The sequence below is a fragment of the Homo sapiens genome, chromosome 8 (assembly GCF_000001405.40).
Source record: "Homo sapiens chromosome 8, GRCh38.p14 Primary Assembly".
Classification (NCBI taxonomy): domain Eukaryota; kingdom Metazoa; phylum Chordata; class Mammalia; order Primates; family Hominidae; genus Homo; species Homo sapiens.
Window position 1 is genome coordinate 137,102,291 of NC_000008.11, and position 15,683 is coordinate 137,117,973.

Consider the following 15,683-nt stretch of genomic DNA (forward strand, 5'->3'; position numbering starts at 1 on the left):
CATATATGCAATGTATAATATTATATAATAGTAGTAACTACAAAGTGCCAGTTCAGGTTGAATTAGGGAAGACAAGCTAACAGAGAAGTCTGATGTGGTGGGGAGTGGTGTACCAATAAAATCAGGCAGCAAGGAAAGAACAAAAAGAATTGTGTAGTGGTTGAGAACTAGGATTCTTGTCAGCCAGATCCTCTTTCTGCCATTTAACACTTGAACGACCATGGTTGAGTTAATTAACTTTTAAGGATCAGTTTCCCTATCTTTGAACTAAGCACAATACTGATTTTATCTAATAGACTTTCTGCAACTATATATATATATACACACACACACATACATATAAATTAATACAGATTTTAATGTATTAAATAATACATGTTTATATATTATTTAAATATATGTACATATATTTAATATACATTATGTATTATTAAGTAGATATTTAAATCTGTGTATGTTAAAATATTTATGTAAATCACTTACATACCTGACACACATTGAGCCCTCAACCAACATTACTTATTTCCCATTATTATTCATTAAGGACTACATAATACCTGACACATGATCAAAATATTTAACCTAATTCTCTCCACTAGCTACACCTCTAAATTCATTTGTGTTTTTCTCTAACCCAGGATAATTTACTTCATACGTCATGGCTAACTTCCCCTACAGTGAGGATTCTAGGAGAACCTGCTAGAAAACGACAAGGTTTCTTATAACCTATCCTTAAAAATCTCAGAACATCACGTTTCTTAAATTCTATTGGCCTAGCAAGACACTAAGGCCAGTCTGAGTTCAAGAGAGCAGAAACTATATACTACCTCTCCATGGGAGTGGTAGCAAATAATTTATAGCTAACTTTAACCTATCGCAAGGAGCAAACCCACAGTGAAAAGCTGCATTACTCTACTTGGTCTGCCATAAGAAAATACCATAGACTGGGTGGCTGAAACAACAGGAATTTATTTTCTTACAGTTCTGGAGGCTGGAAGTCGAGAGATCAGGGTGTCAGCAGGGTGCTGTTCTGACGAAGACGCTCTTACTGGCTTACAGGCTTCTGACTGTGTCCTCATGTGGCCTTCCTCTGTGAAAGCTCACTCTTTCTTCTTGTAAGGATACCAATCCTGTCGATATCCTTAGGAGTCCTCAAATGCATCATGCTCTTCCACACATATTTCTCCCTTCTCTGCTTTTTGTGTGTGCCTTTCTTTTAGCCTGGTTAACTTAATCTAAATTAAGTCTCCTTAATTCTCTAAACTTCTCAGGTCCTAAGTCCTGTCGGATTAGGACCACATCCTTATGATCTCATTTAACCATCTTAAAAGCCCTTTCTCCAAAGATGGTCACATTGGGGGTTTGGGCTTCAACATCTGAATTTTCAGTGGGCACAGTGCAGTCAATAGCAACATCAGAGAAATGAACAAGATACACATAACATCCCTTGAGCAATTGTATCATCATGCCTGAAGCTATGTCTACCACCAGAATTACTTAAAAATGAGAACCAGTAAATTCTATTTTATTTTTTATAAGCCAATTTTGATGAGATCTTCTGTTATTTGTAACAGAAAGTGTCCTGGTTGATACAACAGGCAACTCTTTAGTGCCAACTTACAGGTCGCCAAGGGCAAGAATGGGATTTGTTAGAAGAAATTAGAATCCTGAAACAGAAGCAAACACAAGAAATAGTGACATCAGTGATTATGCAGGATTGAGGACATAAAGCTACAATAACTTAATTCCAAAAGGTAATCTGTTTCTAGCTTGAAGCTAGTTTTAAAACACAGGATATGAACTTTTTAATTTACTGCAGAAAATCTTAAAGGCACATTCAGTACCTGAGAATCAAAAGCAAAAAAAAAACACCACAATTGAATCAAAACGACTTCTAGAATGTAACATAGATGCCACTTAGAGACTCTTGAGTTTGATTAGAAATGAATTTATTCACAAGACTGATTATATTCAGTTTCTTCTCTTTATGGAAGAGAAAACCAATGGCCAGAGATTCAAAGCAATGTTTGCATCCTGGAGTACAAAAACACTAGCTTTTACAGTAAAGATCTTGACTCATATTTAACTTAAGCATAATGTTTTCTGCTTTTCAGAAAGCGACAACTCTCCATTTATTATAACCCTGTCCTCACTCTGATTATTCACTTTGAAGGAAGGACAATCAGGGTGAGTCAGTGGCCCTGAAGGCAAAGAAGAGGGTTTTCAAGCACAGGTGGGGAAATAAGGGAGTATCTCCAAACAACAAAGGTGACCTGAGGTTTACTAAGGTAAGATGCCAAGAATAGATGCCTATTAATCCCTGTCGCACGGGTCACAGGCAACTCTGTCAACCAAATGTGTGGCTGTGTACCTAACGGTGTGTGTTCAGCCAGGATATTAAGGCACAGAGAGCAATACATCTCCCTGCCGCCCTTCCTGCCCCTGCTGAATGCATCAGGTCAGCATCCTACTCTGACTGCAGAGAAGAAAATGACATGTGCATAGAACAACATGGAAAGGAAATAAACGTCCTTGAGCAGAGACAGATGAGAAAGATTATTTTATATGGCATGTTAAAGAAGGCAGAGAAAATTCAGCAGGTTTATGCTCTTGGGGCCTTAATAAACTGACTAAAAATAAAATAATTATCCTAAAGGTTCTCATATGACAGTTTTCTCTTCAAAGGATACTCCTTAGCCACTTTTTTCACAAAAAGAGATCACTTCTTTTTATATAAGCACTAATCGTGTTATATATGTGTTAACCTATGTTTCTCCCCTTCATTTCCTCTCTCTCTATATATTTTTTCTCACATATAACACATGTAAACTAAGTGTGGATGAAATTAAGAAATAAATGCATGATTACGTATTGTTATAAGTAACTTCTTCCTCCTTTATTTCTGCCTTGTATTGTTTCTCTCTGTTAAATCCCTGATGCAAAATTTGCCAAAAATTCTGCAGTTTAAATGTCATGGGCTATGAACAAAAAGAATGGATGAGATAAAAATGTTTGGAAAGGTGGGTGGAAAGTCTGTAAATTTTAATAAAAACTCAAATTCGTGCTCGTTTTGGCAGCACATATACTAAAATTGGAACGACACAGAGAAGATTAGCATGGCCCCTGCACAAGGATGACACGCAAATTTGTGAAGTGTTCCATATTTTTCCAATTTGTAATAAAGATACTTTTTAAAATTTAAAAAAACCCTCGAATTTGTTAGAATGTTTGGGGAACTGGGACTCCTCTGGGGAATTGGATTTTCTGTCTATGAACTCTCTTATTTCAGTTCTCATCAGAATGATTGCAAATACCTAAGTCCCTAGTCTTCCTTCATCAACCTAACATGATTGCATCTTTGCTTGATGAGTCTGAGTTCTTTGAGTTCTTGGGCTCATTAGTGTTCACTCTGTGGAATTTGATGTTGATATAAATGTTTTAGGAGGTAGAGTTTGTTTACTTCTGAGTTTAGAATGCAAATACCAATGAACTTTTATGGTTTAGGTGGGATCTCAATATACTTGTATATGAAGTATCAGAAAATATTAGAGAAATTTGATAGTAATATAATATCTGTGATTATCTACTGTTTACTATATATCAGGCATTGTAAGTTTTTCATGTGCATTACCTCATTTATCTCTGAAAACCACACTAGGAGTCTGATGCTAGGAATCTCTTTTACAGAAGATGAACTGCTGGGCTAGAGCAGAGTTTCTCAAACATTAGTATTCTTTCAAACCACCTGGGGGATCTAATTAAAATGCCAATTCTGAATCGAATACCTTGTTTCAGGCCGAGATTATGCATTTCCGACAGTTTCCTAGGCAATGTCAATGATAAACACTAGTAGAAATGAGGACTTTGAAACTTTCCAGCCTCCTAGCTAGTTGAGAAACTAGACTAGCACTTGTGAATTCAGATGACTACCCTTGGCCACCATTAGGTTCAGCAAACACACATGAGGCTGCTGGGATTCCTTCCCGGTCTACGGCAGACACTAACATTGTACTCCAGCATTCTCTCCTTCCCAGCCGCGAAAATGAACTCACATTTCTTCTCAGTAAAAAAATTCCAAAAATTCACTGGTAATAAACCAATCAGGATAGGCCTGTGACATGAAGCTTCTTTTCATGATTCTGCAGTTTCTACTTTGGCCAAAAGGCTTACATGTCAGTCTTCCTTGAAAAAAGGAGTAAATCAGTTGTTTTGAAAATTGTTATTTAACATGAGTTCCCTGAGAAGCATAGAGTCTTATAGTGATATATAAAAACAAAAGGAGAAAATAATATCTATAATCTCACTACTCAGAGACAAGGACTTTGCATGTATTTATTCAATCATTTTCTTGTCCATGAATTTTTTTTGCATAGCTTTGATTGTACAGTATATAAACTTTTGTGTTCTGATAAAATATATTATTTGTCTTTTTAAAAATGAATACATACTACTCTATAAAGCAGATACATCATGAATTAATTGAAAATTGTCTGTGTGAGCTTCCACCCCTGATTTTACTATTAATTTGCTAATTTTACTCTTAATATAAAACTGGGAATAATATATTTCTGCCAGGCTTTTCTTCTGTACATCAATTTTATGTCAATTTATTGATTAGAACATTCTAAAGTAATTCTGAGTCTCTTTTTGTTTTTGTTTTTCAATTTTGTATGTGCTTCAAAAGAGTATGATGGCCTCTTTTAGGTATGCATTTGGCATATTTTACACTTTTTCACTGATTGAACTGCACACATGATCTATACTTCCTGCTACGTGATACACATTTGGTAGGTTGTTTTTTACCCAAATGCATATTCTATCTCAGAGATTGTGCTGTAACACAAAGACTTCTGTTTGAAGAGAGTTCTAGGTATAAAAGAAAGTAAAATAATTGAAATAATTATCCTTTCAAACCTTTCATTTTAAAAAAAAATTAGCTCAGCATGAATTCTCGACTTGATTTGTACTTCACCATCTTTCCCCCGCTGCCCACGGCTTGATTAAAACACAAGAATGTAATTATCTGTTAATTTGGAGTCTGAACTGATGAAAATAGAAAGAACTTGCACAGGTCAGAGGTTATCATGGTGCATAATTAATTGTCCAACATCATCTTAATCAACATCTCTTCAGTTTGAGCATCCTGCATTTCTTGGACAGTAAGGGGGAGGAGAGATGTGTGATTTAATCAACTATGCCTGAGTTGTCAGAAACCGATTTGGGAGGCGTCATCCCCCAGTTATTAAAGAAAGAACTGAAGTGTTTCATCCTTCAGAGACAGGTCATGCATTACCAAGTTTGTAAGATACAAAGCGCATTGTTGAATACAAGGCTTCCTGCACGTGGCTAACTTCAACTTGATTAATACATTGAAGTATTAGGTCTGAGAAGGAAAGGTGTGCACATCTGAATGTAATCTAACATTATATGAATTATTAGCCACAAAAAGCCATTGACTTTTACCAATGTTAGATTTGCTGTGCTATTACCAATGTGCGTGAAAGTATAGAATCTGTCCTTTGAAAAAAATCACAATAATGTCACATTTTCTGTCACATTTTCATAAACATGCCATAGGTCAAATAAAATAACAATAGAGAATATAAATTTCAGGCATAGTCTGGTCTTATACATTCAAATAATAGAGAATCCTATTCATGCTCTAGAACGCCGCATGAACTATCCGTGGATTTTCAGCATAGGGTCACAGAATTAATATGCATTTTTCTCTTATTTAATTAGCATAACACTATGTTAAGGTCGAGATTATTGTTCCCATCTTACATAGGTGGAAACTGAGATTGAGAGCAACTAACTCTCTTTATTACTGACTTGCTGGTAGGAAGTGGCCCAAGTTGGAACCTGTGCCCTTCGGTTTCTGCCAATCCTGGATATGGTGTGAAGTTGGCTACAATAAACAAGCATTTCTATGTTGCTTGATCCCACTTGTACATTGCTTTGGTTATTTCATCAGCTTCTTCTCTTTTTCTTTTCTCTTTCTCCCCCAGTTTGCCATACATGTCTGCATCATAGAATCTTTGAATAGCAATGTCACTAGAAATTTTGGGTTATTTTTCCTGAGGCAGAATTATTGCTGGTTTTCCTTTTTTTATTGCTGGTTTTCCTTTTTTTTTTTTTTGAGACAGAGTCTTGCTCTGTCGCCCAGGCTGAAGTGCAGTAGCGTGATCTCGGTTCACTGCAAGCTCCACCTCCCGGGTTCACGCCATTCTCCTGCCTCAGCCTCCTCAGTAGCTGGGTCTACAGGCGCCCGCCAGCACGCCCGGCTAATTTTTTGTATTTTTTTAGTAGAGACGGGGTTTCACTATGTTAGCCGGGACGGTCTGAATCTCCTGACCTCGTGATCCGCCCGCCTCGGCCTCCCAAAGTGCTGGGATTACAGGTGTGAGCCACTGTGCCCGGCGTGGTTTTCGTTTTTTACTGATCTGTCTTTCTAAGTGAGTATGAGTATTTGTGGTGAAGTTTGTGTATTTTCTTTATGATTCTGTAGAACTTAGATAAACATCCAGCTCATTAAATGTATAAAATATGTTTGTAGAATAAATTAGTAAAATCAACAAATGTTTGAGTGGATTGATGAACAAAAAATGCATAGATAGATGGAAATATGAATGGTTGGATGAAAAGATGGATGAATGAGAGAAAACTAGGCAAGGTCCCAAAGGGAAATTGAGAAGTAGAACATGTTGGGTTAACCCTGTGATTCAGCAGTGGGAAAAAGAGAGCTGCAAGTTGCTGTGAAGTGTTGAAGACTTTCCAGAAGCCTCTCCACTCTGTTGTCAGTTGTTTTATCACCACTATTATAACAGAGGAAGCCTTAAGGATGATCATTTTATTCCAATGTTGTAATTATTAAAATAATAGTTTTTTAGTGTTTTGTCTTTTTTATCGATGAATACTATTTGTACATATTTATGGTGTACACGTAATATTTTGTTGCATGCATAGAATGTTAAAACCAAGTAAACTGAATGCTGGGTAAGCCTAAAGTTCAGGCAAGGTGGGAAATACACAGAGAAAGTCAAGGGCATAAAAATACTTAGACCACGAAATGGGCTTGTGGGAGAGAACAAGACAGTGGCAAAGTCCAGAGAAACAATTGGGAGAAATTTCACTGACCTTTGGTGTGGTTATTTAACTAGCAGAGAACTCTGGACAGAGATTTCATAGAAAGCTAGGGTCCTAGGGTCTCTGTCTCTCTCATAGACCACCACATTAGCATTTCTGAGTTACATGGCTACCCCGAGTAACATGCAAGTTTTTGTGGATTCATGAATTAATCTGTAAGCAAGTGAATTATATTTAACAATTATCAAGTGCTTTTTCAAAGAGTAAGGGCTTCGACATCCTGTCCACCACTGTAGGTTTGTAGCCCTGCCCTGCATCCCTGCTCATGTCCATCTCCTCAGCTTTCAGTTAACCAGGAGACTTTCTGATTCTCCAGAGTAGACTCCCCACCCACCATTATATATGCTTATACTGTACCACTTCTTTAGAGCACTCCCTACATTTATTGATATGGATTTGCTCTGATGTCTATAAACCACAACAAAGACAGGAATAGTTGATTCATCAAACATTTACTGAGTACCTCCAGTGTGGCACAGAAGATTCAGCAGTGAGGAAGAGAGAAGAGGTGTTTGAGCTCCTGGAGCCAGCATTTTATCAACTGTTGGGACTGAACATGTTCTAAAAAGTGAAACATAAATATGATAAATTCAGAAAATGAGCAATTATAGAAAGAGAATAAAATTATGGGAATGGTGATATATTAGAATACACCAAATTTTGTTTATCCATTTATCAGTTGATGGACATATGGGTTGTTTCAACCTTTTTTTAATTATTAATAATGCTGCTATCAATATTTGTATACGAGGCTTTGTAAAAAACATATGTTTTCAATTTTCTTGGGTAAATTCCTAGAAATGGAATTGCTGACTCATATGGTAACTCTAGATGTAACATTTTGGAAAGTCGAAAAACTGTTTGCAGGGAGGCTACAACATTTAACATTCTCACCAGGAGTATTTAAAGCTTTCCATTTTTCCTTATACTCATCAACATATGATAGTTTCTCTCTTTATAATTTTATCTATCCTAGTAGATGCAAAGTGGTATCTCCTTGTGATTTTGATTTTGCCGTTACTTTTAAAGGCAAAAACCGCATGTAATTTTCCACCAACCTAATAACATTGAGTGTCTGTTGCACCCCTTGACATTGGATGGTGAGGTGAGCCCTTTGAGGAGTAGCTGAGATGAAAATGATAGAGGAACTAAGGGAAGAACATTCTTTACAAAGAGAACAGGTTCTCCCCGTTTAAAAGCCCTAACAAGTCTAGCTTTGAAGGTCTGGGTAAGACATTCAGATTATGTTTTAAATATGATAAGATGTATGTCCCTTAAAGTTCATCTTGTCAACAGAGTGGAGAATGGGTTGTTGTAGCTCAAGGAGAAAAGTGGGGTCTGTAGTATCTTCTCGTTAGTGTAACTCTAATGGTTAAGATAATGCGTGGCCCAAAGCTCAGTAAATGTTAAATGAAATAAATGAATGAATTATTCCCGGAAAGTTTATTCTCCACCATTGCAGTTCATTTATGCTTATAAAATTGAAATATTTTACTTCCTTCCTCAGTGTTTTTGACAAAGAAATAAATCAGAATATATCCAGAATCATAGACTGGTTTGGAGAAAATTTCTCTCACCTTTCTCATTCAGAATACTAGTCTTCTTCAAAATCTAAGAGCATCATTTTTTCCCTGCAATAAAATTTCTCTCATTCATTTTTAAAGTGTTTTCCAATATAACACTGCAAAATTAACTGTCACTGTAAGCACAATTTGGCTAAATCTAACAAGACTTGCAGTATTGTTTTTCTCCTATATTTCTATGATAAAATGCTCTGAATACAGATTAACATTATTTCCTCAGTATTTGTTATTGTTTTACCTACTTCAAAACACAAACTGAAAGTTCTTTGATGAATGGACATAAAACTCGTTGGGTTTTACTTTATTGTCAGCAACTTCTGTTTTCTCATGCAAAATGTGATTTTGTAATTTTCTGCAGAAATACAGCCCAGCAGAACTCAGCTAATGCCTAGATGTCTAAGTTTCTTACTGAATGACTCTGTCTGACTCCCTGCCTTATGTTACTATTATAACTGCCACCACATAACAGAGTCAGTTTTAGGTGTTGCTTGCTTTTAGCCCTGGGCACCGTGAAGATTTAGAGTGAGTAGATCCTGTTAGGTTTGGAAATCAGATATCAATCCAGAATCTGGTCCTTTTGGAGGTCTCCAAAGATGTAAGAAGCTCCAACTCATAGAGGCTGGAGAGGAACTCAAGAGCTAAAAGGTGAACAAGAGTACAAAGTCATGCAACCTGAAATGAGGTTTGTTTACTTTTTAAATAAACAATTACATTTTTATTGAGATATAATTGACATACAATTTACTCCTTAAAAGTGTATATATAATTCAGCAATTTTTAGTAAATTTGCAGAGTTGTGCAAACATCATCATTATGTAATTTTAGAAAATTTGTACCACCTCATAAAGACATACACTTATACTCAGTCCTCATTGCCCCTTCATTGCTAATCTACTTTCTCTCTCTGTATTTGCTTATTCTGGAATTTTTATATGAACGGGGTCATACAATATGTGGCCTCTTGTGGTTGGCTTCACTCTCTAAGCATAATGTTTTCAAGGTTCGTTCATTTTGTAGTATATATCGGTACTTCATTTCATTTTATTGCTAAATAATATTCTATTGTGTGGATATACTAAATTTTGTTTATCAGTTGATGGACATATGGGTTTTTTTAATCTTTTTATTATTATGAATAATTCTGCTATCAATATTTGTATACAAGGCTTTGTGAAGTCATATGTTTTCAATTTTCTTGGGTAAATTCCTAGAAATGGAATTGCTGACTCATATGGTAACTCTAGATGTAACATTTTGAAAAGTTGACAAAGTATTGTCTCTATAAAAACACGAAAAATTAGCCAGGCATTGTGGCGGGCGCCTATAGTCCCAGCTACTCTGGGGGCTGGGGCAGGAGAATGGCGTGAACCCGAGAGGCGGAGCTTGCAGTAAGCCCAGATTGCGCCACTGCACTCCAGCCTGGGCGACAGAGCGAGACTCCGTTTCCAAAATAAAAAATAATAAACATAAAAAATAAAATAAAATAAAAAGAAATAAAATGAAAAGCTGACAAAGTGTTTACAGGGAGGCTGCAACGTTTAGCAGTGTTTAAGGGTTCCAATTTTTCCATACCCTCATCAAGACATGATAGTTTCTCTGTAATTTTATCTATCCTAGTAGATGCAAAGTGGTACCTCATTGTGATTTTGATTTCCATGATGTTGAATACCTTTGCATATATTTATTAACAATTTTTATATCTTCTTTGAAGAATTATCTATTCAAGTTATTTGGCCATCGAAAATTAAATTTTCTATATGTTTGTTGAGTTATAAGTGTTCTTTTTATATACTGGATACAAGTGCTTTATCAGATGTATGATTTGAAAATATCTTCCCCCATTCTGTGGCTGATTTTCACTTCCTTGATGATTTTCTTAGAAGTATATATTTTTTCTAATTTTCGTGAAAATCCTATTTTTTTCTTAATTGCTCTTGCTTTTTGTATCACATCCAGGAAACATTGCTCAACCCAAAATCATGGATATTTATTCTTATTTCCTTCTATGAGTTTTATAGTTTTTGCTCTTACATTCATGTCAATAATAAATAATATGTGACATGTCAATGATCCATTTTGGTCCATATAACAATTTCTGTTATATGTAGCATGGAGTCCAGAATAATTATTTTGCCCATAGGTATCCTACTGTACCAGTAGGATTTGCCGAAAAGATGATTATTCTCCCATTGGCACACTTCCTGAAAATCAACTGACCACCAATGTAAGAATATATTTCTTGACCCTCAATTCCATTCTTTCTATAAGTCTTTATGACAATACCACACTGTCTCAATAAGAGTATTTTATAACTTTTTGACATCAAGAATTATAAGAGCTTCAAATTTTTTTTAAGAATATTTTGGCCATGCTAGGACTTTTTAATTTCCATATGGATTTAGGACCAGACTGTGAGTTGTTTTTGTTTGTTTGTTTTTTCCAAAAAATCCGTCTAGTAGTTGATAAGGGTTATTTTAGATCTGTAGTTCAATTGAGGGAGAGTTGCCATCTCAACCATGTTATATCTTCATATCTATGAACATAAAAATATAAAATGTCTTTTCATCAATTTATGCCTTCTTTAATTTCCTTCAATAGTGTTTTGTAGTTTCTGGTGTATAAGTTTTATGCTTCTTTTGTTAAATGTATTCCCAAGTTTCTTTTTTATTTTTCCAGATATTATTAGAAATTAATATATTTTTATTATTTCCATTTTTGGATGATTCATTGACAAAGTATACAAAAACAATTGATTTATTTATATTGATCTTATATCCTAAAACCTTGCTGAAGTCATTTATTGTTTCTGATTGTAGATTCCTATTTTTTATTCAATTTAATGTCATCTGTAAATAGAGATAGATTTATTTTTAGCTTTTAAATCTGAATGCTTTATATTTTATTTTTATTCCTAATTACTCTAGGTAATATGTCTAAAACCATGTTAAATAGATGTTGTAAGAACAAATACTCTTGCCTTGTTCCTAATTTGATGAAAAAAATTTTCGATCTTTCACTATTAAGTATGAAGGTAGCTATGGTCTTGGGAAATTCCCTTCTATTCCAATTTGTTGAGTATTTTATTTTTAAAAGATGTTTAATTTGTGAAACAATTTTAATTCTTTATCTATTGAGTTGATCATGTGGTTTTTTTTTTCTTTAGAATACTATTATGGGATATTACATTGAGTTTCATATGTCAAACAAACCCTGAATTTCTGATATAAATTCCACCTGGATGTTGTATATAATTCTTTTTACATATGGTAGATTCAGCTAGGTAGTATTCTGTTGGGAATTTTTGCCTCTTTATTCATAGAGGATGTTGTCTGAAGTTTCCTTATAATTTATTGGTATGGCTTTGTTATCAGAGCAATACTAAATTCACGCAATTGGTTATAAAGTGTTTTGTCCTCTCCAATTTTTTAAAAAACAATGTATAAAGATTGGTGTAAATTCTATAAAGACTTAGTAGAATTCATAATTGAAACAATTTTGGGACTGGGACTGTTTTGTGATAAGCCTTAATAATAACAATTCAATTGTTTTACTGGTTACAGAACCAGTCACATTTTCTATTTCTTCCTGACTCAATTTCAGTAACTTAGGTCTCTCGAGGGAATGTCTATGTCATCTAAATTATACAATTTGGTGACACACAACTGCTTACACTATTTCTTTATAATATTTTAATTATTATTATTTCCTAAGATCAGTAGTAAGGTCCACTGTTTCATTCTACACTTTAATCTGATACCTCCCTCTTCTTTAATGTAAAGTTTTTTCAGTTTTGTTGCTGGTTCTTTCCAAAAATCCAACTTTTGGTTTGTTGAATTTCTCTATTATTTTTCTATTTTTTTAAATTTATTTTCATTCTAATCTTCATTATCCCTTTATGAGCTTAGTTAGGTCTTCTGTTCTAGTTTCTCAACGTATAAACTTAAGTGATTGATTTGCGATATTTCTTCTTCGTTAATATAGGTGTTTACAGGCATTAACCATTTCCTTAGATGCATGCCCCACACTTTGTTATGCTGTGTTTTTATTTTCATTCATTTTAAAGTATTTTAAAATTTATTTTAATAATTGTTTGACCTATTGCTTATTATCACATATTATTATCAACATTAATTGTGCCCAGAATTGGTGGGTTCCTGGTCTCCCTGACTTCAAGCATGAAGCCGCAGACCCTCACGGTCAGTGTTACAGTTCTTAAAGACGGTGTGTCCTGAGTTTCTTCCTTCTGGTGGGTTTGTGGTCTCCCTGACTTCAGGAGTGAAGCTGCAGACCTTCGCGGTGAGTGTCACAGCTCTTAAAAGCAGTGCGTCTGGAGTTGCTTGCTTCTTCCAGTGGATTTGTGGTCTCACTGGCTTGAAGAGTGAAGCCAAAAACCTCTGTGGTGAGTGTTACAGCTCGTAAAAGCAACGCAGACCCAAAAAGTGAGCAGCAACAAGAATCACTGCAAAGACCCAAAGCACACAGCGTTGAAGGGGATCCAAGCAGGTTGCCTGCTGACTTGGGTGGCCTGCTTTTATTCCCTTATCTGGCCCCACCCACATCCTACTGATTGGTTTATTTTACAGAGAGCTAATTGGCGCATTTTACAGAGAGCTGATTGGTCCGTTTTACAGAGAGCTGATTGGTCCATTTTGACAGAGTGTTGATTGGTGTGTTTACAAACCTTTAGCTAGACACAGAGGGCTGATTGGTGTGTTTACAATCCTTTAGCTAGACAGAAAAGTTCTCCAAGTTCCCCCACACGTCCCAGAAGGCCACCCAGCTTCACCACTCATTGGGACTCCCAGTGGGAACTCTGGCAGCCCAGAGGGAGCTCATCCCCTGATCAAGCCCAGCAGGCGCCCACCCGGAACCTGGGCTGGCCGGCGAGTGCCGCATGCAGCCCTGGCTCCTGCCAGCGCCTCTCCCTGCACACTTCCCCGCCAGCAGAGAGAGCCGGCTCCAGCCTTGGCCAGCCCCCAGAGAGGGGCCACCACAGCAGAGCGGAGAGCTGAAGGGCTCCTCCAGCACCGCCAGAGTGGACGTCGAGGCAGAGGAGGAGCCCAGAGCGAGTGAGGGCTGCAAGCACGAGGTATTTCTTCTTCATTAATATAGGTGTTTACAGGCATTAAGCATTTCCTTAGATGCATGCCACATGCTTTGTTATGCTGTCTTTATTTTCATTCACTTTAAAGTATTTTAAAATTTATTTTAATGATTATTGTTTGACTTATTGCTTATCACATCACATAATTAATATTGTTATCAATATTAATATTAATAATTAATATAATATAGATATTATATTAATTATTTTAATTGTTATTAAAGTAAAATTGCTTATAATTTGTAATTTTAATTAATTAAGTAATGTGTTATTACAAATATATTAAATATTTGATATTACTTATACAATATTGAAATATAGATAATTTTATTATGTTATGGTGTAAAATATATTAATATTTTTTAAAACAAAGCTGTTATACATTATAAATATGTTAAAAATGCATTTAAAAATATGTCTTCACATTGTTTAATTTCTCAAATACTTTTTGTATTGATTTTAAATTTTATTTTGTTCAATTCAGAGAATGTAGTTTTACTTTAATTAAGTATACAGAGTCTTGTTTTACGGCATAGTATATAATCTATTCTGAAGAAGTTTTCCTGTGCCCTTGGGAAGAATGCATATTTTGAAGATAGTGGGTGGAGAAACAAATATAGATGTGTTAACACCAGTTGCTTTGTTGTTGTTTAAGTCTTCTATTTCCTTGTTGACCCTTGTCTATTTTTTTAATTCATTATTGAAAAGTAAGATATTCAAATATCCAACTTTCATTGTTGGTTTGTGTATTTCTCCACTCAATTCTCTTAGTTTTTTTCCATGTATATTGGAGTTCAGTTATTAGGTGCACGAAGTGAGGCTTTGTAGAATATGATGATTTTCTTAGGGCACTGCAAAAAGTTCTTCCAGTAAAAATACTACCTTAAGACTTGTCAACCTAAAATAATCAAAAGGGTCTGAATCAAGTTTAAAGAAAATGTATTCAAGTGCAAAGTATAAGGGTGGCCAACCCAGAAAAATCAACTCCAAAGGAATATAGTAAGTGTTTTGAAGTAAGACAGTGAAGGATTTATTTATATAGTCAGGGACAGAGAACTGTTCAGCAGTTTTAGAATTTTTAGAAATTTTTAGGAAAATGTCATTTAGAAAATGACATTTTTTTCATGCAAAATTGGTGCATAATTACAAAAATTTGATTATAAGCAGTTTTCCTTTTTGGGAAGGATATGTTTACTATTTTTTGTAGGTGTTATAATAGTCATGGCTTTTCTGTCATCTGGTCTAAGCAGAGCAGGAAAACACAAGGGAAGTTAATTTTTAACAAGGTTCATTACTTAAGAAGGCAAGAGGTTTTTGTCCCTGACGTTTAATTCTCTGCAGTCACTGTACAGAAAAAGAAAAACAAGAAAGTGAGTTCGTCTATCATCTGAGAAACGGAAATCGCAACCATATGTGACTCAGATCGCTGTTGTCTCTCTCTCAAGGCTTAAAGTAGTTTTAGTGTTCTAACAGCTTTTAAGTTTTATTTACTTTCAAAAACTAGAAAATCTACAACATTTTACAGATGCATACTTCTCTAATCCCACTTTATACCCCTCATCTTTATGGACCGCAGTCCTTACCGGACCCTAAATTCAGCTGGATTGAGTGATTTTTCATCTGCTGAACACATCATCATTCACTCTACTGCCATTGAGTTCCCAGCTATTTTCTTCTCTGGAATTTCTTTTTCTCTACATAGCTATACTTTTTCGAATCCACCCTGCAGTCGTCTGTGTGAATCTTTTGTCTTTTGATTTCCCAAATCTCAAAATATCTGCTATTTCCAGGGATAAGTAGCTATTTGAGAAATATTTGTGACCAAAAAATGCACTTGTGAGAAATGAGTA

The 15,683-nt window shown here is 35.3% G+C and overlaps 1 pseudogene; it reads left to right on the forward strand.

Annotated features, from left to right (window-relative positions):
* Positions 3,062-3,167, forward strand: RNU6-144P (RNA, U6 small nuclear 144, pseudogene; annotated as a pseudogene).